Source organism: Homo sapiens, chromosome 14 (genome assembly GCF_000001405.40).
Source record: "Homo sapiens chromosome 14, GRCh38.p14 Primary Assembly".
Taxonomy (NCBI): Eukaryota; Metazoa; Chordata; class Mammalia; order Primates; family Hominidae; genus Homo; species Homo sapiens.
This window is the reverse complement of record NC_000014.9, coordinates 75029289-75052727: the sequence shown is the minus strand read 5'-3', so window position 1 is coordinate 75052727 and position 23439 is coordinate 75029289. Positions and strand designations below refer to the sequence as shown.

At 41.4% G+C, this 23439-nt stretch overlaps 1 protein-coding gene across 17 annotated transcripts in view, besides 1 other annotated feature; it reads left to right on the top strand.

The window, feature by feature from the left end:
- MLH3 (mutL homolog 3) overlaps positions 1261 to 23439 on the top strand; it is a 37693-nt gene continuing 15514 nt past the window's right edge. For 2 of the 17 annotated variants that reach the window (XR_245681.5, NM_001040108.2), the window contains exons 1-9: positions 1261 to 1348; positions 3010 to 6352; positions 10251 to 10349; positions 11028 to 11113; positions 12713 to 12817; positions 14316 to 14388; positions 19238 to 19309; positions 20549 to 20660; positions 22026 to 22185. Coding sequence is in view for 13 of the 17 variants with exons in the window: in NM_001040108.2 (NP_001035197.1) it covers positions 3073 to 6352; positions 10251 to 10349; positions 11028 to 11113; positions 12713 to 12817; positions 14316 to 14388; positions 19238 to 19309; positions 20549 to 20660; positions 22026 to 22185 (3987 nt within the window). In the remaining 4 variants the exon portion in view is untranslated. Of the gene's footprint in view, positions 1349 to 3009; positions 6353 to 10250; positions 10350 to 11027; positions 11114 to 12703; positions 12818 to 14315; positions 14389 to 19237; positions 19310 to 20548; positions 20661 to 22012; positions 22187 to 23439 lie in introns of those variants that run through there. The other 15 variants (XR_007064004.1, XM_005267532.6, XR_001750225.3 and 12 more) reach the window with 12 other exon arrangements.
- Positions 1459 to 1648: a silencer, noted in NCBI's record as "silent region_5939". NCBI's record gives its function as "represses an Ori minimal core promoter by ATAC-STARR-seq in GM12878 lymphoblastoid cells {active_cell/tissue: GM12878}" and the evidence as "EXISTENCE:reporter gene assay evidence [ECO:0000049][PMID:35858748]".

Genomic DNA, 23439 nt, shown 5'->3' with positions numbered 1-23439 from the left:
ATCTACAAGCCAAGGAGAGAGGCCTCAGGAGAAATCGTTGCTGCCAACACCTTGATCTCAGACTTCCAGTCTCTAGAACTGAGAGGAAATAGACTTCTGCTGCTTAAGCTACTCAGTCTGAGGTATTTTGTTATGGCAGCCCTAGGTATAGTAATAATCATAAACAGTTATCAGGATTTTGCTTAATCAGCCCTAGAAGACTGGTTGGTTGGGTTTGGTTAGTCACTAAACTAGCATATATCAAATGCTTACCAGGTCTGACAAATTCGTTATAAATTCCACTTTAAATTCTCAATGAAAATGAGATAGAAAGCAAAAACTAAGGACTGGTTAACAATTCCAAAACACTTTATTCTCACAGCATTCTCAGAGTTCTGCTCTCCTTTAGTTATTTTTATAACTAAAAGCTGTGGTGGCACTGGGGAGATTCAAGTCAGTGAAGAGAGTCTTGGTGTTGTCATCTGTAAATTAAGAGTTGAGCAAAGGCCGGGTGCGGTGGCTCACGCCTGTAATCCCAACACTTTGGGAGGCCGAGGCGGGCAGATCACCTGAGGTCCGGAGTTCGAGACCAGCCTGACCAACATGGAGAAACCCCCGTCTCTACTAAAAATACAAAATTAGCCGAGTGTGGTGGCGCATGCCTGTAATCCTAGCTACTCGGGAGGCTGAGGCAGGAGAATCACTTGAACCCTGGAGGCGGAGGTTGCAGTAAGCTGAGATCGCACCACTGAATTCCAGCCTGGGCAACAAGAGCTAAACTCCGTCTCAAAAAAAAAAAAAAAAAAAAAAAGAGTTGAGTTAGACAGTTTCTCAGCCTTTTCCAGCTCCAAATGCCATAATTCTAAGATGGCAGGCTCTGGAATTATTCATTCATTCGGTGCCTACCATAGGCCAGGCACTGTTCTTGGTAACTGGGATACAGCAGTAAACAAAATATATAAACTCCTTACCTTCACATAGCTTACATTCTAGGGAGAGAAGACAATAAGTAAACACATAAAATATATATTGAATTAAACGGTAGTTAAGAGCAAAGGTGAAAATGAGAAAAAAAAGGAAAGGGAAAACACGGGAAAAAAAAATAAAAACAAAAGTAAAAGCTACGACATAGTCTTTAACACCATGCCAAAAGGGAATAAGGATTGAGACTGTAGGTACCGGTTCACTGAACCCTGGGATGCGGATCCTTGGCTGGAACAACTGGTGCGCATGCGCACTGGTGTCTCGCGGCCTGGCGCGCCCCCTCCGAAGCGCATGCTCGTGGGCACGCACGAGCCTCAAGATCCAAGGTGCGCGCGTCGGCGTCCGAGGCGGTTGGTGTCGGAGAATTTGTTAAGCGGGACTCCAGGTGACTCTGGGGGAAGCACGCGACGAAAAGATGATGCCGGGGTCTCTTCTAACACCAGAAGGGCCCTGATGATGGCTGCGCGCAGCTTTCGGAGCCGGATGCGCGAGGGCCCCGGAGGCCCGGCGGCCTGGCGGCCGGGCGGGCCCAGTTTGGGGACAAGGACGGGGCTGGCCAGGGAGGGGCTGGGCCTGGCGGGAAGGCAGCGCTGCCCCGGACTCGGCCCGCGCGGCCCTCCCAGGCCCCCGTGCCCTGGATCCAGGCCCGTGCGTCCCGTCAGTCCCAGGCGCTGGGAGGCGTCATCAGGAAATCATTGGGTTTACATTAATCGGAATACTTGTTAAACGTTTACCCGTCAGTTGCTGCCGGCTGCTTAGTGCATTAGCTTAGAAAGCAGCAGAAATTCTGCAGTTAAGAGCCCTGATTTGTCCCGAGTTTGGAAAACCGGCCCCACCGCCTGCAGGGGCCCACCCACGTGGCTCTCACTGATGGAGAAGAAGGGGAGACCTTTAATGGCACTGGAATCTTAGGGTTTGGTTTTTTTTGTTTTGTTTTTTGTTTTTGTGTTTTCACTTGCAGGAAAACTTAAAATCAAGTTCAGGCAGCCCCATGCCATCATTATTATTACCAAGGTAGTTTATGCCCATCTGTAAAGACCAAAAGAATATTAATAATGACCTTCTGGCCGGGCGCGGTGGTTCACACCTGTAATCCCAGCACTTTGGGAGGCCAAGGCGGGAGGATCACTTGAGTTCAGGAGTTCGAGACCAGGCTGGTTAACATGGTGAAACCCCATCTCTACATAAGAGACAAAAATTAGCCAGGCATGGTGGCGAGCGCCTGTAATCCCAGCTACTCGGGAGGCTAAGGCTGGAGGATTGCTTGAGCCCGGGAGGTGCAGGCTGCAGTGAGCCGAGATTGTGTCATTGCACTCCAGCCTGGGTGACAGAGTGAGACTGTTTCAAAAAAGAATAATAACGACTTTCTAAAAACATCAGAGTAATACATGAACAGGATTTAACAATCAAATGGCAAAGAAAGGTTTATATGAAAAGGAATTTTCCTGCTTTATCTTTTCCCATTCCCAGCCTCTTTCCCTGAGGTGACTATACTTAACCATAATAATAATAACCTCTTAATGCCCCCAATCTCTCTTTGATACAATTTGATTCTTAAAATTTCTTCCTATTGCTTCACCTTATTACAATGTCTTAGCAATTCATTATAAGTATTTTTCTAAAAGTCATGGTTATTGTGTAATGTATAAATGTTATGAAACTAGCTTGGACATTTTTGTCATGAATAATTTCTAGCTAATGTTCCTTAGCTGTATTTAATTTAGGCATCTGTTTTTGGTGAAGTGGTTAGAATTTCGAATACTGTGTTTACTGGTCAACTTCAAGTGTAATTATGATTTCACTTTAGGACATGTGGGATTTAGAAAGGAGCATTGAAAATTATGAAATTATGAATTTTTTTTGGATGTTAATCCATTGCACCAAGCATGAGCTGTGCCTAGAGATCAGCGGTATAACTTTGTTTTGCTTTGTTTCACAATTTGGTTTAATAAGAGTGATTTCATTTACCTCAAGTGCTATTTCTTCATAATGCTGTGTAATGCTAAAGCTTTGATTATGTGCGTGTGTGGTTTTTTTCTCCAATAGGCAATTATTTCCAGTCAGAGAAGGAAACCAGTGCCTGGCATTCTCACCATCTTTCTACCTACCATGATCAAGTGCTTGTCAGTTGAAGTACAAGCCAAATTGCGTTCTGGTTTGGCCATAAGCTCCTTGGGCCAATGTGTTGAGGAACTTGCCCTCAACAGTATTGATGCTGAAGCAAAATGTGTGGCTGTCAGGGTGAATATGGAAACCTTCCAAGTTCAAGTGATAGACAATGGATTTGGGATGGGGAGTGATGATGTAGAGAAAGTGGGAAATCGTTATTTCACCAGTAAATGCCACTCGGTACAGGACTTGGAGAATCCAAGGTTTTATGGTTTCCGAGGAGAGGCCTTGGCAAATATTGCTGACATGGCCAGTGCTGTGGAAATTTCGTCCAAGAAAAACAGGACAATGAAAACTTTTGTGAAACTGTTTCAGAGTGGAAAAGCCCTGAAAGCTTGTGAAGCTGATGTGACTAGAGCAAGCGCTGGGACTACTGTAACAGTGTATAACCTATTTTACCAGCTTCCTGTAAGGAGGAAATGCATGGACCCTAGACTGGAGTTTGAGAAGGTTAGGCAGAGAATAGAAGCTCTCTCACTCATGCACCCTTCCATTTCTTTCTCTTTGAGAAATGATGTTTCTGGTTCCATGGTTCTTCAGCTCCCTAAAACCAAAGACGTATGTTCCCGATTTTGTCAAATTTATGGATTGGGAAAGTCCCAAAAGCTAAGAGAAATAAGTTTTAAATATAAAGAGTTTGAGCTTAGTGGCTATATCAGCTCTGAAGCACATTACAACAAGAATATGCAGTTTTTGTTTGTGAACAAAAGACTAGTTTTAAGGACAAAGCTACATAAACTCATTGACTTTTTATTAAGGAAAGAAAGTATTATATGCAAGCCAAAGAATGGTCCCACCAGTAGGCAAATGAATTCAAGTCTTCGGCACCGGTCTACCCCAGAACTCTATGGCATATATGTAATTAATGTGCAGTGCCAATTCTGTGAGTATGATGTGTGCATGGAGCCAGCCAAAACTCTGATTGAATTTCAGAACTGGGACACTCTCTTGTTTTGCATTCAGGAAGGAGTGAAAATGTTTTTAAAGCAAGAAAAATTATTTGTGGAATTATCAGGTGAGGATATTAAGGAATTTAGTGAAGATAATGGTTTTAGTTTATTTGATGCTACTCTTCAGAAGCGTGTGACTTCCGATGAGAGGAGCAATTTCCAGGAAGCATGTAATAATATTTTAGATTCCTATGAGATGTTTAATTTGCAGTCAAAAGCTGTGAAAAGAAAAACTACTGCAGAAAACGTAAACACACAGAGTTCTAGGGATTCAGAAGCTACCAGAAAAAATACAAATGATGCATTTTTGTACATTTATGAATCAGGTGGTCCAGGCCATAGCAAAATGACAGAGCCATCTTTACAAAACAAAGACAGCTCTTGCTCAGAATCAAAGATGTTAGAACAAGAGACAATTGTAGCATCAGAAGCTGGAGAAAATGAGAAACATAAAAAATCTTTCCTGGAACATAGCTCTTTAGAAAATCCGTGTGGAACCAGTTTAGAAATGTTTTTAAGCCCTTTTCAGACACCATGTCACTTTGAGGAGAGTGGGCAGGATCTAGAAATATGGAAAGAAAGTACTACTGTTAATGGCATGGCTGCCAACATCTTGAAAAATAATAGAATTCAGAATCAACCAAAGAGATTTAAAGATGCTACTGAAGTGGGATGCCAGCCTCTGCCTTTTGCAACAACATTATGGGGAGTACATAGTGCTCAGACAGAGAAAGAGAAAAAAAAAGAATCTAGCAATTGTGGAAGAAGAAATGTTTTTAGTTATGGGCGAGTTAAATTATGTTCCACTGGCTTTATAACTCATGTAGTACAAAATGAAAAAACTAAATCAACTGAAACAGAACATTCATTTAAAAATTATGTTAGACCTGGTCCCACACGTGCCCAAGAAACATTTGGAAATAGAACACGTCATTCAGTTGAAACTCCAGACATCAAAGATTTAGCCAGCACTTTAAGTAAAGAATCTGGTCAATTGCCCAACAAAAAAAATTGCAGAACGAATATAAGTTATGGGCTAGAGAATGAACCTACAGCAACTTATACAATGTTTTCTGCTTTTCAGGAAGGTAGCAAAAAATCACAAACAGATTGCATATTATCTGATACATCCCCCTCTTTCCCCTGGTATAGACACGTTTCCAATGATAGTAGGAAAACAGATAAATTAATTGGTTTCTCCAAACCAATCGTCCGTAAGAAGCTAAGCTTGAGTTCACAGCTAGGATCTTTAGAGAAGTTTAAGAGGCAATATGGGAAGGTTGAAAATCCTCTGGATACAGAAGTAGAGGAAAGTAATGGAGTCACTACCAATCTCAGTCTTCAAGTTGAACCTGACATTCTGCTGAAGGACAAGAACCGCTTAGAGAACTCTGATGTTTGTAAAATCACTACTATGGAGCATAGTGATTCAGATAGTAGTTGTCAACCAGCAAGCCACATCCTTAACTCAGAGAAGTTTCCATTCTCCAAGGATGAAGATTGTTTAGAACAACAGATGCCTAGTTTGAGAGAAAGTCCTATGACCCTGAAGGAGTTATCTCTCTTTAATAGAAAACCTTTGGACCTTGAGAAGTCATCTGAATCACTAGCCTCTAAATTATCCAGACTGAAGGGTTCCGAAAGAGAAACTCAAACAATGGGGATGATGAGTCGTTTTAATGAACTTCCAAATTCAGATTCCAGTAGGAAAGACAGCAAGTTGTGCAGTGTGTTAACACAAGATTTTTGTATGTTATTTAACAACAAGCATGAAAAAACAGAGAATGGTGTCATCCCAACATCAGATTCTGCCACACAGGATAATTCCTTTAATAAAAATAGTAAAACACATTCTAACAGCAATACAACAGAGAACTGTGTGATATCAGAAACTCCTTTGGTATTGCCCTATAATAATTCTAAAGTTACCGGTAAAGATTCAGATGTTCTTATCAGAGCCTCAGAACAACAGATAGGAAGTCTTGACTCTCCCAGTGGAATGTTAATGAATCCGGTAGAAGATGCCACAGGTGACCAAAATGGAATTTGTTTTCAGAGTGAGGAATCTAAAGCAAGAGCTTGTTCTGAAACTGAAGAGTCAAACACGTGTTGTTCAGATTGGCAGCGGCATTTCGATGTAGCCCTGGGAAGAATGGTTTATGTCAACAAAATGACTGGACTCAGCACATTCATTGCCCCAACTGAGGACATTCAGGCTGCTTGTACTAAAGACCTGACAACTGTGGCTGTGGATGTTGTACTTGAGAATGGTAAGTACGTAGTATTCATGTGCATGAGATGCTTTTGAAGATGGGAATGCTGGACAAGGAGTAAGATCCTCATTATCCAAAGAGATTATCTCAACAGATAGAACATTTTGAAGACCACTTATAAAACATATGTTGTATTTTCATGCTATATGAAGATTTGCTACGTCCAACACTACTTTTTTTTTTTTTTTTTTTTGAGACGGAGTCTTGCTCTGTCACCCAGGCTGGAGTGCAGTGGTGCGATCTCAGCTCACTGCAACCTCTGCCCCCCTGGTTCAAGCGATTCTCCTGCCTCAGCCTCCAGTGTAGCTTGGATTACAAGAGCATGCCACCATGCCCAGCTAAATTTTTTTATTTTCAGTAGAGACAGGATTTCACTATGTTGGCCAGGCTGGTCTCAAACTCCTAGCCTCAAGTGATCCACCTGCCTCGGCCTCCCAGAGTGTTGGGATTATAGGTGTGAGCCCGCACGCAGCCTCTAGGTCCAACACTATTTAAATGGAGAAGTACAGTGAAAGGATGTCAGTGTGTGTATATGTGTCTATGGGTGTGTGTATGTGTAAGAAAGGGGGTGATGGGTATATACCTAGAGCAACAACAAAAGGGGTGAGACTGTCCAATTTTAATAAAAATGATACTATTAATAGTTGGGAAGATCCACAGTACTTTCCTACCTTGTTTTCCCTTCCTGTTAAATGCCCAGCTTTCCTAGAAATGTGTCTTTAAAGGCACCTGCAGTGTCAGCATGGTATTTTACTGGAAGTTTCTCTGCGTGGCTTCCAGGTTAAGGGCCAGAATGATTCTGTAATCATCCTAGGTTTCCCAGTAAACTCTATGGCTTAGTACAGTACTACATTTATGAGCTTTTTCTTTCTAGAAAGTAGGACTTGTCCATGAATTTTCAAAATATAGGTCAAGTATATACTTTCATGACTATACTTTTCAAATGTACTTTATTATAATGCATATGGTAAAATCTCCTTGATGTGTTTATGGTACAAGTAGCTGTTATTCAGGAAGACAATAATATGGCATTTATTTATTTGAGACAGAGTTTCACTCTTGTTGCCCAGGCTGGAGTGTAGTGGCGTGATCTCGGCTCACTATAACCTCCGCCTCCCAGGTTCAAGGGATCCTCCTGCCTCAGCCTCCCAAGTAGCTGGGATTACAGGCACCCGCTACCACACCCGGCTAATTTTTTGTGTTTTTGTAGAGACAGGGTTTTACCGTGTTGGCCAGGCTTGTCTCGATCTCCTGACCTCAGGTGATCCACCTGCCTCGGCCTCCCAAAGTGGTGGGATTATAGGCGTGAGCCACTGCACCCAACCAATATAGCTTTTAGATCGTACCACAGGGCTACATTAGAGCCTGCACTAGGACTCTGGGTTCTCGGTCCACATTTAAAGTGATATTGCTTTGGCAGTGTGTTGAGAGCCAGATGTTGGGAGGTGATAAAGCTGATTTCCATCTGGCTATAATCTTGGCTTTGCACTAGGAGGATAAACATTACATCTGTATCCGTATTTAAAATTTTGAATGCTGCAGAAGAATGGAACATGTATAAATGTAGTTATAAGTCAATTTCTAATTTCTCCTGACGATGAATATCTCTAGCAGAAAGCTGTGGTTTCTTTAAGGTTAAATGAAACCTTTACTTTTCAGTGTTTTTCTGTTTTTCCTTGTGAAAAAAAAATCACTGTAGTAACTTCAGTAGTATTTCATAGTATTTTGTAGTATTCATTAGGAGAAAACTCATTTCTTTCACTGTTGTTCCTGAGACTATCAAGTTGCTCTTAAAGCCACTTTATGTGCTTTTCAATCTATGTGGTTTTATGTCCTGACTTACACTGAAGGCTTTTCAGAGGTAAATCTACAGCACTGACACCTCATCTTCCTGAAATGCAACTGCTTCTGATATGGTGCCAAAAAATAACTGGATTACATTATACTGTGAGATGGCTGTTGCTAAAAGAAAGGGGGAAATCTTAGCTGCCATATTCAACGTAAATATTTCTTCCTTTTGAATATAGACGTTTAAAACACTTTAACCTACTTAACATTCTGGATTAGCATACTTTTTTATGAACTTTTGAGGGTCATGTTAACTGATAGTTTCCTAATGAAAAATATTTTTGGTATAGAAAGAAGTTCCATGAACAGATGGCTCCTCAGTACCCTGCTACCTTTCTGGAAATGGCTGATATACATCATGACATCAGGACATTGTCAAACTTTACATAAAAGTGTTACATGAAATAAATTGTTAAAAGACAATTTTTTTTTTTTGAGACGGAGTTTCGCTCTTGTTGCCCAGGCTAAAGTGAAATGGTGCGATCTCGGCTCACTGCAACCTCCGCCTTCTGAGTTCAAGCGATTCTCCTGCCTCAGCCTCCTGAGTAGCTGGAATTACAGGCATGCGCCACCATGCCTGGCTAATTTTGTATTTTTAGTAGAGACGGGATTTCTCCATGTTGGTCAGGCTGGTCTCAAACTCCCAACCTCAGGTGATCTGCCCGCCTCGGCCTCCCAAAGTGCTGGGATTACAGGCGTGAGCCACCAGCCTAAAAGATACATTTTAATGTACAGAAGGAGGATCTATAAAGGTGATTTTGAGGAGTAGTGTCAAGTCCCCAAGCCTTGGTAATTTTTTCTTTAAAATATATTTTATGCAGTTCTTTCTATTGTAGTTATAAACCTTATTTCACTTCATTATCTTAATTTTATCATTCTTAACCTCTCCAGGTTTAGTCCAACAGATTTATCTCTCATGTTTTCCTCCTGTTCTAAAGCTGTCAAATTCAGCATTGTTTCTAAAACTCAAATCTGATTATCCTTCATGGAGAAGAACAGCATTTGGGCCAGATCTTACTAGACTCTGGAGTTTGAATTGAGAACCTTTCATTTGTCTACCTGTTCACTTTTTCATGCAGCATTTGTTGATCATCCACACTGTGCTAGGTGCTGTCACGTTGCAGGTTAACTGACTTTGCTTTTAGGAGTTCACAGTACTATTAGGGAAGATAGCTATCTAAATATAATTGTATTATAATGAGACAAATGTTAGGATAGAGACATACATTGGAGATAAGAGACATAAGTTGGAGATTTGTGAAGGTTGCACCAAGTTATGGCTGACAAGTACTGCTGTATGTCTAACACAGGGCTTCTCTGGGTAATTTTTTGTTGTAAGGTTTGTCCTATGCATTGTAGAATATTTAGCAGCATCCGTGGCCTTTATCTGCTAGATGCTAGTAGAACGTAGAACCCTTTACTCAAGTTGTGACAATGAAAAGTGTCTCAAGCCGGGCACAGTGGCTCACGCCTGTAATCCCAACACTTTGGGAGGCCGAGGCGGGTGGATCACAAGGTCAAGAGTTTGAGACCAGCCCGGCCAATATGGTGAAACCCCATGTCTACTAAAAATACAAAAAAATTAGCCGGGTGTGGTGACGCATGCCTGTAATCCCAGCTACTCGGGAGGCTGAGGCAGGAGAATTGCTTGAACCCGGGAGGCGGAAGTTGCAGTAAGCCGAGATCACGCCACTGTACTCCAGCCCGGGCGACAGAGCGAGACGCCGTCTCAAAAAAAAAAAAAAGGGTCTCAAGACATTGCCAATGTCCCCTCGTGCAAAATTGCCCCCCAGTGAGAATCACAGTGACCTATTCTAGGTCTTCATTCTGTCTGGTATGAATAGATAATGGAACTAAGCATTAATATAGAGTCCTATATGGACAGCATAATTTCATTAAAGGATTTCTGATTCTCAATCTAGTGTTTAGTAGTCTGCTTTATGTCTTGACTCAGTTTGTGCAGAAAGAGGTTTTATGTGATTAAATTTTTAAAGAGTTTACTTGTATTTTAAGTTCACATTTCTAGGTTTTTCTTTCTTATATTTAGGGTCTCAGTACAGGTGTCAACCTTTTAGAAGCGACCTTGTTCTTCCTTTCCTTCCGAGAGCTCGAGCAGAGAGGACTGTGATGAGACAGGATAACAGAGGTAAGGGTGGCAGAGAGTGCTGGGGCACACAGTACACATCGTACCACCTAACTCAAAAAACAAAGCAGGCTTGCATTAAGCTTGATCAGTGCCAGCTGTGCTGTACTGGAATCAGGAATTCCCCACGGCCCTGTTTAACAGCGGAACTAATTAATTCAGCGCATGCATTTAGGTCAGAAATTACTTTTCCAGACTTGAGGTCAATATTTGCTGATTATGCATAGTCTGTGGTGTCTTGTGATTAGGGGACATGTTTCTTATTTTTAAAAAGGCTGGACTTGCACTCCAAGTTGCTGTAGTTTTATGTAAGCAAAACTCTTCAAAAAAAGCTACAGACATCAATTTTGTGTGTATGTTTAAAAATAGATAAGGTATATTTTGCTTAAAGGCAGTAAGGCTATAAATTTGAGCCATAGCTTCTCTGTCAGTATTCCACAATATCTCTTTTAACAGTTTGGAGAAAAGCTGTAATGCCAGAAGATACAGTCACCAACTCTAGTTTAAAAAGTAACAGATCAAAATAATTTAGAGATACAGCAAACACTGAACATTTGTAGAACATAGAAACAATGTACGTGACCTTTGGTCTTGAGGCTATGGCTCACCAAACAGGAAATGCCATTCCCTCCTTTCCCTGTGGTTCTGGATGCCAACTTTACCTGTTCCCTTTTGCCCTAGATACTGTGGATGATACTGTTAGTAGCGAATCGCTTCAGTCTTTGTTCTCAGAATGGGACAATCCAGTATTTGCCCGTTATCCAGAGGTGGGTCTGTAGCAGTTTTTCTTTGCCTTTTTTTTTTCTTCTTCTTCTTCTTATTTTTTAAATTTTGAGATGGAGTTTTGCTCCTGTTGCCCAGACTGAAATGCAATGGCATGATCTCGGCTCACGTAACCTTCGCTTCCCAGGTTCAAGCAATTCTCCTGCCTCAGTCTCTCGAGCAGCTGGGATTACAGGCACCTGCCACCACGCCCAGCGAATTTTGTATTTTTAGTAGAGATGGGGTTTCTCCATATTGGTCAGGCTGGTCTCTAACTCCCAACCTCAGGTGATCTGCCCGCCTCAGCCTCCCAAAGTCCTGGGATTACAGGTGTGAGCCATCACGCCCAGCCTTTCTTTGCCTGTTATTTTAAACTTTGAGTTTCAAGATGGGTACAGTGGCATGCACTTATAGTCTCAGCTACTCAGGAGGCTGAGGTGGGAGGATCACTTGAGGCCAGAAGTTCAAGGCTATATAGTGTGCTGATTGCACCTGTGACTAGCCACTGCACACTATAGCCTGGGCAACACAGTGAGACTCCATCTCTTAAAAAATAAGTAAATTAGTTAAAAATAAAATTTGAATTTTATTTAAGCTGGGTATGGGCATGCAAGACTATATTAATTTGTAATTATGATTGGAAACTGGGCATATTTCCAAATTATGTATTTGGAAATTACTGTTTAATGTAGAGGGGAGAAATAAAATTTATAGCATTTGGGAACTCAGGCATTTTGGATTAAACATGTATAATCAATGTGAGAACAGTGAATGTGTTTACCACTCTCAGAAACCCTGACTTGTAGCTTTGGCACAGTATTCAGGGTGGTGATAATGAAATTGTTATCATTAGATAAAGCCACACATCTTCTACTGGAGGAACAGTTCCTCATTGGCCCCGCATGGATGTTCTCTCCTCAGTGTATTTTCACAGAATGTACTGTGCATGTTATAAACAGGGTGTATAATAGATGAGCATTTGTTTACCAGTTCTTTCCTCAAGATATCATTTGAGGACTTGATCATGGAACATAGACAAATTGTTGTTGTGAAACAATTTTTTTTGTTTTGTCAGTAATTTTGTTTATAAGCAAAAATTTTTATGTAAGACTCATTATTCATAAATTCTTTTGAATTTTTTTTTTTTTTTTTTTTTTTTTTTTTTTTTTTGTGACAGAGTCTTGCTGTGTCGCCCAGGCTGAAGTGCAGTGGCGTGATCTCAGCTCACTGCAAGCTCCGCCTCCCGGGTTCACACCATTCTCCTGCCTCAGTCTCCCAAGTAGCTGGGACTAAAGGCGCCTGCCGCCACGCCCAGCTAATTTTTTGTATTTTTTAGTAGAGATGGGGTTTCACCATGTTAGCCAGGATGGTCTCGATCTCCTGACCTCGTGATCTGCCCGCCTCAGCCTCCCAAAGTGCTGAGATTACAGGTGTGAGCCACCACGCCCGGCCGATTCTTTTGAATTTCTATAAATTCCCTGAATTAAACCCACCTCTAGTAGGCTAAATAAAAATGAATGCTTTTAAAGCACTCTGATATCTTTGGTAAAACAATTCTGACACAAAAATTAAAATTTCAATTATATTTTGCTGAGTCTTTCTAGGTTGCTGTTGATGTAAGCAGTGGCCAGGCTGAGAGCTTAGCAGTTAAAATTCACAACATCTTGTATCCCTATCGTTTCACCAAAGGAATGATTCATTCAATGCAGGTAAAAGATTAACTTCAAAATCTCATAAATATATATATATATATATATATATATATATATATATGGCCTAACTCTTCTAAAATTTGATTTATTTAATGATATAGACCACCTTGGTCAAGGCACGTGTGTGTGTGTGTGTGTGTGTGTGTGTTCTTACTAGAACTTTTATCATCAGAAGAAAAAGCAAGGGATTAATTATAATTACAAAGAAAGAAATATCTTTAGTAGTGTAAGTAGGTTTGGAGGGAATGAATTATGGATTCAGGCTGACAGTTTCAAGGATTCTCAAGGTTCTCCTGCAGAAGATTATATATTGACTTTATATTTGGCAATAATTTATAAATCAAAGTCCTTTAGTGACCTTGTCCTTAAGTGTGCAACAGTGCCCTTTTAGAAATTACCTTCTATTGTGTGAGCCTACACAGGTTTGGGAAAGCCCATATTGAGAAGTCATTTCACAAAAGGGACCCTTTGTCTGATCTGCTTTTCTATTTTGCCTTGTGTTTACCACCATGGCTGTCTTATTCCCTTTGTTTTCAGTACGGAAACAAATTAGGAGGCTAACAAATTTGGGTAAACTCCTAACCTGGCATTGACCTGGTACCAGAGCAGGCAAGCAGTTGATCCAGAAATAGACCCTGGGGCAGTGGTATAGGCTCGGGGGTATTGGAGAGCCTCAAGTACCTAGACAGAGAGGAACCACCAAGGTCTAAAGCCACCAGTGGCTTTTAACTTACTTCTTTAATAGACTAGCAGCCGGGCGCGCTGGCTCACGCCTGTAATCCCAGCACTTTGGGAGGCCGAGGTGGGTGGATCATGAGGTCAGGAGTTCGAGACCATCCTGGCTAACACGGTGAAACCCCGTCTCTACTAAAAATACAAAAAATTAGCTGGGCGTGGTGGCGGGCACCTGTACTCCCAGCTACTCGGGAGGCTGAGGCAGGAGAATGGCATGGAGGCAGGAGAATGGCATGAACCCAGGAGGCAGAGCTTGCAGTGAGCCGAGATCACACCATTGCACTCCAGCCTGGGTGACAAAGTGAGACTCCGTCTCAAAAAAAAAAAAATTAAAAATAAATAAAAATAAAAATAGACTAGTTTCTCCATAATCGTTTTCCTTGCTTTCATATAAATTTTAAAAATTTATTTCAGCCTGTATGTTAGCAATCTCTGGTCACATTACCTATTCTCAAGAGTCACTCTGTTGGGAACATCTCAGGCCTTCTCTAAAGTATTGCTAGCACACCACTCTGAGACGTGGGAGTCTGTCTTCCCCTGTCGCCTCCCTCCCCTTACATCTTCTGATCAACTCCACCTGCCCATTCTTTCATCCTTCCTAGTGACTTTTTCTGGTTCATCAGAACCTTACCCAGTCTCAAAGAAAGGAGTGTGATAAGGCAAACAACTCTAAATAAAATACAGTTCTGTATCTTTCTATGCAAATAAGCCTTTGTTAATTTTTATTTAGTGTTGTACCACTTATTTGAATGTCTGACAGGTTCTCCAGCAAGTAGATAACAAGTTTATTGCCTGTTTGATGAGCACTAAGACTGAAGAGAATGGCGAGGCAGGTAAGAATGGAGTTTAGCCTGAATGATTAACCAGCTGGTCTTCTTGTAACCTTTTTTTAATGATTATTTTTGGTATATAATATAGTTTCAATGATTTGGATGGATTAGGGAAAGCCAATCTAAAACTAAGAATATTATGAAGGCTGGGTGCGGTGGCTCACACCTGTAATCCCAACACTTTGGGAGGTGAGGCAGGTGGATGGCTTGAGGCCAGGAGTTCAGGACCAGCCTGAGCAACATGGCAAAACCCCGTCTCTACTAAAAATACAAAAATTAGCTGGGCATGGTGGTGTGCACCTGTAGTCCCAGCTACTCAGGAGGCTAAGGCACAAGAATCGCTTGAACTTGGGAGGCAGAGGATGTAGTGAGCCGAGATTGCGCTATTACACTCCAGCCTGGGCGACAGACATTTAGTTTTATGTTCATACACATACATATACTCAGGATGCACATTAAACTATCAAGAGTATTTACTTTGGGAGTGAAAATGAGGGTGTGCAAAGGAGATATTTCAACTTTTACTCTTTTTGTCTTTTTTTTTTCCTTTTTGTGGAGAACGGGGTCTCGCTATATTGCCCAGGTAGGTCTCGAACTCCTGGGCTTAAGCTATCCTTCCACCTCTGCCTCCCTAACAGCTGGGATTACAGGTGTAAGCCACCACGCCCAGCCCATCTTTTATTCTTTTAAATATTTTCTATTGTTTGACTTTTTAATAATATTTTCATGTTTTCCCTTTATAATAATAGAAAGTGTATATAATGAACTCTGCTAGGTTTGTCAATATTTACACAGAATCTCTTGGTGACCTGCTCTAATGAAACAATAATAGTTTGTAAATATATTAACTCATTCAACAAGTATTAATTGAGTGCCCATTGTATGCCAGGGACTGTACCAGGCCCTAGGGATACAATAATGAGAAAAGATATATATGCAAGAGAAAAAAATAATTACACAAACATAAAATTTTAGTTCTAGCCCCTGTAATGGAGAAAGAGATACAAGATGCTCTAAGAACCTGTATTGGGAGATTTGATTTCATCAGGGAGTTCAGGGAAGTGCTTCTTGGTAAAATGAGGTCTGAATATGAATATGAGTTAACTAAGTAAAGAAAGGAGGGAACAACCATGCAATTTGTGATTTATTCTCCTCAGTGAGTGGAAACAGGGCAAGGGGAACTGGAGATGAGGCTAGAGAAGTAGGTAGGAGTCAGATCTTAAATGCCAGCTACAAGCTTTGCTTTGTCCCAATACTGTTGGAAACCATTGAAAGCTTTTTTTTTTCATTTTTTATCATTTGTATTTTGATGTTGTTTTTGGGGTGGTACATGTCACATCACATTTGCATTTTAAAAAGATTGCTCTGGTTGTAGTGTGGAGAATGGAGTAGGAGTAGGGGTGGAGTCCCAGTTAACTGTAGATTGACTGTTAAAAGAATATTGCAATATCTGAGACATGGTTAGATGGGACCAGGGTGGACTAGAGAGCAGTGAATGTATTGGAAAGATATTTAGGAGATAGAGTCAGCAGGGCTTGGTGATGGATTGGATATGGGGAAAGTATGTAAAAGATGACTTCTGGTGTTCTGGCCTCCATAGCTGAGTTGATGATGTTGCAGGACCCGTGTTGCAGGCAGAGCAGAGAGGATGAAAATCATGAGTTCAGTCTTTGAAATGCTCCAGAAGAGATGTCAAGGTGGCCAGGCACGGTGGCTCACGCCTGTAATCCCAGCACTTTGGGAGGCCGAGGTGGGTGGATCACCTGAGGTCAGGAGTTGAGACCAGCCTGGCCAACATGCTGAAACGCTGTCTCTACTAAAAATACAAAAATTAGCTGGACATGGTGGCAGATGCCTGTAATCCCAGCTACTCGGGAGGCTGAGGCAGAGAATTGCTTTAACCCGGGAGGCGGAGGTTGCAGTGCGCCAAGATCGCACCACTGCACTCCAGCCTGGGTGACAGAGCGAAACTCTGTCAAAAAAATAAAATAAAAAGATGTCAAGAATGTGGTTGGATATTACAAGTCTGGCCTAGACAAGTGTTCTGACATGGAGATACAAATTTGAGCCATCAGATGCAGAAAAGTGATCACTGAAACCCTGGATATAAATGTTATCACCTAGAAAAAAGAAGAGTGAGGAGAGGTCTTGAATCTAGAATAATTCTAGCACTTAAGAGCTCGGTAGAAGAGGATGAACCAGCAAAAGAGACTGTGAAAGAACAGCTAGAGAAATAGGAAGAAAACAGAAGAATGTTATGTTGGAAAACCAGGATGTCATGCCAAACGCTGCCAAGACATTAAGTAAGATGAGGATCATCTGATTTTGTGACAGTAGAGATTAGGGATTTTAGCAAGTGAGAGCTGTTTCAGAGAATAGACAGGACGAGATGCTGATGGTGCTAATGGAGACTGCAAGGAGATACTCAGAAATGTGCCCATGACACGGAAGAGGGACTACAGAGGGTGAGGGTGACAGAGGACCTTTTTTTTTTAATGGGAGAAACTTGAGCACATTTGCAAGGGATGCCTGATGGGATAAAGTCCCTGAAAAGGCCTGAGTGGCTGAGCCCTGAGCAGCAGTGGAGGGCTGGCTCCAGCTTGATAGTACCTGCAGGCAAGTGCTAAAGTTTTAGAGCATTTATTCTCTATGTATTTCAAAATATTCCCTTTACCTTGTTTAGTAAATGTCATAGCAGATCAAAGGCAAATTAACCTAAAGTTCTGTCAGAATTATCATGAATATAGAATTTGTGAAGATCAAATTCCTATAGTTTTACTATTTCTAGAAAAGTAATAGTTTTTTGTTGTTGTTGTTTTTGAGACGAAGTTTCACTCTTGTTGCCCAGGCTGGAGTGCAATGGTGCAATCTCAGCTCACTGCAACCTCCGCCTCCTGGGTTCAAGCGGTTCACCAGCCTCAGCCTTCCAAGTAGCTGGAATTACAGGCACCCGCCACCCACGCCCAGCTAATTTTGTATTTTTAGTAGAGACGGGGTTTCTCCATGTTGGCCAGGCTGGTCTCGAACTCCTGATCTCAGGTGATCCGCCCGCCTTGGCCTCCCAAAGTGCTGGGATTACAGGCATGAGCCAACCCGCCTGGCCAATTTTTTTTTTAAGTTTTCATTATCTGGAATTCTTTGTTGTTTTTGAGATCAGAATCTCTACTAATGATACTCAAGATGGGTGTAACTACAAAATCTGCAGATGTTGAAAGAAGCAAAATGGATCTGTTGAAATTTCTCTTTTTTTCTTTACTTTTTTTTTTTTTTTTTTTTTTTTGAGATGGAGTCTTGCTCTGTCGCCCAGGTGGGATTGCAGTGGTGCAATCTCGGCTCACTGCAGTCTCCCCTTCCCGAGTTCAAGGAATTCTTCTGCCTCAGCCTCCCAAGTAGCTGGGACTACAGGCACCTGCCACCACGCCCGGCTAATTCTTGTATTTTTAGTAGAGACAGGGTTTCACCATGTTGGTCAGCTGATCTTGAATTCCTGACCTCAAGTGATCTGCCCTCCTCAGCCTCCCAAAGTGTTGGGATTACAGGCATGAGCCACAGGCCCAGCCAGAATCTGTGTTTTAATAAGATCCCCAGGGGGTATGTGATATGAACGTTTGAGAAGCCCAAGTCTAAGGCAGGATAAACATGGCCCGAGGGGAATCTGGGCATCACCTCTTTCTGTACAGCCAGGGAGATGGGAATGGTTTTTACATTTTTTAATGGTTGGGAAAAAAAAAGAAGACTATTTCTTGACACATTAAAATTATATGAAATTAGTATTTCAGTGTCCATAAATAAAGTTTTATTGGAACACAGCTACGATATTCACATATTGTCTATGGCTGCTTTGGCTCAAAAAGAATTGTTGAGTAGGCATGACAGAAATCGTGTGGCCCAAAAAGCCTAAAATATTTATGATCTGGCCCTTCAGAAAACGTTCTCCGGCTTGTGATCTAAAGTGCACTGGAAGTACATTCTTTGTGGGTTTCCAAGTAGCTTGTACACCAAGGTTAGCTGATTATAACAATGTGTTGTTTAACGATCCTTTATCATATTAAAGTTGAATTAATAAGGCAAAATCAGTATTTAAACATAAGAATTATATATTCAAGCTTCAAACTTGAGGAAATGCCACTTTGACTTTTTTTTTTTTTTTTAAGATGGAGTCTCACTCTGTCACCAGGCTGGAGTGCAGTGGTGCAATCTCGGCTCACTGCAACCTACACCTCCTGGGTTCAAGCGATTCTCCTGCCTCAGCCTCCCAAGTAGCTGGAACTACAGGCGCGTGCCACCACACCCAGCTAATTTTTGTATTTTTAGTAGAGACAGGGTTTCACCATGTTGGCCAGGATGATCTCGATTTCTTGACCTCATGATCCGCCCGCCTCAGCCTCCCAGTGTGCTGGGATTACAGGTGTGAGACACTGCACCCAGCCCTGACTATGTTTTCTAAATGAGATGCTGGTGAACTAAAGAGTTTCTTAGTTTACCTTTTGTTTCCTAAAAAATGAAATTATGGGGAAAATAATAAAACTTATAGGATAAAAATTAGTAATACTGGTAATCTCTGGAGAGAGAAACTAGAAGGGGTGGGGGCAAGAGTATAAAGGAGACTTTATTAAATTCCCTTTTGTGCCTTTCAGAATTGGATCTGGGATTCAAACATATGGGATAAGTTTGCTATCATTTTCCCCATAATTTCATGTTTTAGGAAATAAAAGATACAATTGTTACTCCTCAGAATGTTTTGTCTTATGCTGTTGTTAGATAGTTTGAATTAAGTCTTCTCTGTCCTCAACACACATGATGGTTGTCGTCTTGCTCTGAGAATCAAAGTTCACAATCCTTGCTCATCTAGGTGGGAACCTGCTCGTGCTGGTGGATCAGCACGCTGCCCATGAGCGTATACGTCTGGAGCAGCTTATCATTGGTAAGGATCTGTTTGCAGCCAGAAAAAATTTGAGACTCCCAGCAGAATCAGTACACCTCAAAGAGCTTTTCTAACTGCAACTGTTGTGAGAAAGCACACTTTGTACTGTATGTTCAAAAATTAAACTAAAGTCCTGCAGTTTGGCCTGTGTTATAATTGAAAGAATGTGGTAGTTCACTAATTGAAAGATGTGAACTTATTTATGTGGTCAGAGGCATATTTGCCAGATGTTATTAACAACCCAGAAGTACGCAAGGATAGGCTGCTTACTCTGACATCCAGCACAAAGCTCTGCCCCTCCATATGCCCGGTGATCTTGGCATGCCTTCCCACACTCCATCAGGCAGAGACCAGTGGCAGCTCAGAAGGCCCAGTATGCTGTTTTGATTTTAAAATTTAGTTTGCTTTTGAATATGCAGTATAATCAAATAGATCCAATTCTGAAAGGCACAAAAGGGAATATAATAAAGTCTCCTTTCTATCCTTGTCCCCACCCCTCCTAGTTTCTCTCCCCAGAGACAACCAATATCTCTGGTTTTTAAATCTATCTTTCCAAAGCAATATATGCTTTTTAAATGTTTTTTTTTGCTACCCTTTTCCTCATCATGAGGCAGTGTGTTCACCAAGTGGTAAAATACCAGGAAAGTCTTTACTCCTGTGGCCAATGAGTAATGTCAAAGAGTTAGGCAAGGACCTAAGGAGTGCTTCATGGACTAGAATGGCAATGATATTACTACTGTTTTCACTTTTCCTTATAAAATGACGGCCTAAGAGTTGGGAAAGATATAGTAAAAACAGTGTTAGAAAAACTTACCTCTACAGGCCCTGCACCATTTGAGAATAGTACTAATTCTCTCCAGAGACTGGGAGACCCTGCTCAAGGAAAGGGAAGCCTTCTGGAGCCATAAGACTGTGTGGTCAACCCACATATGTTCCTGGTAATCCACATTATTCACCTCTGTCATCAAAACAACATTTATTAACTACAGGAACATTGGCTTGTTCATCTGAATGTAAGATGCAAGTCTTATATTTCTTATTTTGAAAAATACTACCAAAATTGTTAATAGGCTGAATATTTATTAGTTTGACTTTAAAAATGGAAATCCAAAATCTAAAACTGAACATTAAACATTCTGCTTTGCATTAGAATGATTATCTCAAGGCCGTGCTTTATTTTTATCTGAATCTAGAAGACTTCCCTTCCTACTCTTAACCCATTCATCTTTCTGCCAATAGATTCCTACGAGAAGCAACAGGCACAAGGCTCTGGTCGGAAAAAATTACTGTCTTCTACTCTAATTCCTCCGCTAGAGATAACAGTGACAGAGGAACAAAGGAGACTCTTATGGTCAGTACCACCATGAGAATGTGATGTTGATGGTATCAATTCTCACAATAATTCTGTGAGGAATAAGCATAACTATTGTTCCATTTCTCAGATGAGACCAAGAGAGGTTACAAGACTTGTCTAAGGTCATAGCAGTTATTAAGTAGTGGAGCAGGCACTCAAAGGCAGGTCGTCTGACTCCACAGGCTGTTTGTTTCCTTTTTTAAAATATATTTTTTTCTGCATCCAATCATCCATTAAAATATTTATTTTGTGAGACATGGTCTCACTCTGTTGTCCAGGCTGGAGTGCAGTGGCACAATCTCTGCTCACTGCAACCTCCACCTTCCAGGCTCAAGCAGTCCTCCCACTTCAGCCTCCCAAGTACCTGGAACTACAGGTGAGCACCACCATGCTGGACTAATTTTTGTAATTTTTTGGTAGAGATGGGTTTTCGCCATGTTACCCAGGCTGGTCTGAACTCCTAGGCTCAAGCGATCCTCCCACTTTGGCCTCCCAAAGTGCTGGGATTACAGGCGTGAGCCACTGGACCCAGCCTATTCTTTCCACTGTATCCCAGCTGAAGAGTATAGGATAGAGTTTCCCTGATAATTTTTTCCAGCAGTTGGCTTAGAACACTCTTCTCATTTCTTGGAACAGTCTGTGTTTATGCCATGCTTTGTGAAAGCAAAGTTTCTGCAGTAATTGGTCCCATTCTGCTTTGCTTTGGTGCATTCTAGACTCTTAGTTTTCATTATCGTAATCATAATGGGAAGAAAGTAAAACATTGGGATGTAAGGAAGGGGCGAATCATATAGTGAGTCACAAGATAGGATATTTTTCCTCTTCTAGGCAGCACAAATTATTGAAAATGAAAAAGAAATTTCTCCCAATATGTTTCAGGTTTGGGAATATGATACTGCCAGTAAATCTTTTTTTCCCTATGACATAATTTATATTAGAGGCAGATCTATTTACTTACATCCCGTTAGTCAGGACTTCTCAATTCCTTGGGCTGTTAATTACCTCCCTGCTTTAATGCTGATTCAAATCACTCTCAGACCTTTTCTTCATGCCAGACTCCCTTAAGTGCCAGCAGCCAGAAGTTAGCAGTTCCTCAATGAAGAAAACACACTTAGAAACAAGACTTAGACACAGATTGATTCCCAATGGAAAAGAGAAAAACAATAAAGGTTACTGTAATTCAAAAAGGAAATTTGATAATAAAAAATCCCAAACACCCACACATAAGTGTGAGAAAAACAATACGGTTGTTAAGCCCTGTGGCAGCTTTTGAAAAACTATTAAGTAGTATTTGGAACCAGTAGTGAAGTGCAAATGAAGTAGCACTCTTTTTTTTTTTAACATTTGAGGTTATCTCTTTAGGTGTTACCACAAAAATCTGGAAGATCTGGGCCTTGAATTTGTATTTCCAGACACTAGTGATTCTCTGGTCCTTGTGGGAAAAGTACCACTATGTTTTGTGGAAAGAGAAGCCAATGAACTTCGGAGAGGAAGATCTACTGTGACCAAGAGTATTGTGGAGGTAAGACACAGCTGCAGATGTTAAGGAAATTGCTGAGTGATGGTAACCTCATATTTTGTCTGTAGATTCTCTGAATTCATCTTTTCTTCAACAAGTATTCATGGTATTTACCTGCGGTGTGCCAGGAGCTAGAAATTCAGAGATGAGTTAGCTCAAAATAAGGAAGAAGGGCATTTAAAGAATTATAGTCAGTGAACTTTGGCTAGTAGAGGTATGTGTTTTGCTTTCTTCCCAGTGATAAAGGTAATGAAAACTAAGAGTCTAGAATGCACCAAGATAGTTTTTCAGAAGTGTTATGGAAACACAGAATGACTTGTGTGCCTGGGGAGGTGAAGTCAATGAAAATGTCACAGAAAAGCTGTTTTCTTAAGAAAAGTTTTTACTTTTGAGAGACCAGGTCTCACTCTGTTGCCCAAGCTGGAGTGCAGTGGTGCAATCATAGCTCACTGTAGCCTTGATCTCCTGGGCACAAGCAATCTTCCTGCCTCAGCCTCCCAAGTAACTCGGACTACAGACACGCACCACCATGCCTGGCTAATTTTTTCCTTTTTTTTTTTTGTAGAGATGGGGGCCTCACTATGTTGCCCAGGCTGGTCCTGAACTTCTGGCCTCAAGCAATCCCCTTGCATTGGCTTCCCAAACCCCCGGCACTACAGGCATGAGCCACTGCACACAGCCAGAAAAGTCTTACAGAATAGTGGGAAACTAGGCTGGGCAAGGTGGCTCACACCTGTAATGCCAGCACTTTGGGAGGCCGTGGTGGGTGGTTCACCTGAGGTCGGGAGTTCGAGACCAGCCTGACAAGCATGGAAAAACCCCATCTCTACTAAAAATAGAAAATTAGCCGGGCGTGGTGGTGCATGCCTATAATCCCAGCTACTCAGGAGGCTGAGGCAGGAGAATGGCTTGAACCTGGGAGGCGGAGGTTGCATTGAGCCAAGATTGCACCATTGTACTCCAGCCTGGGCAACAAGAGTGAAACTCTGTCTCAAAAAAAAAAAGAAAAAAAGAATAGTGGGAAAGTGCTGAGTACAGAAGAGGGGAGAAGGGCATTCTAGACAGAGGAATACATATCAGAGACTTGAGATACATCCTATGTTTAGGGAACTATCAATAGATATGGCTCAAATTAAGATCTACAGTTGATCCTTGGATAACTTGGGTCTGAACTGCGCAGGTACACTTAAATGCAGATTTTCTTTCACCTCTGCCATTCCTGAGACAGCAAGACCAACCTTTCCTCTTCTTCCTCCT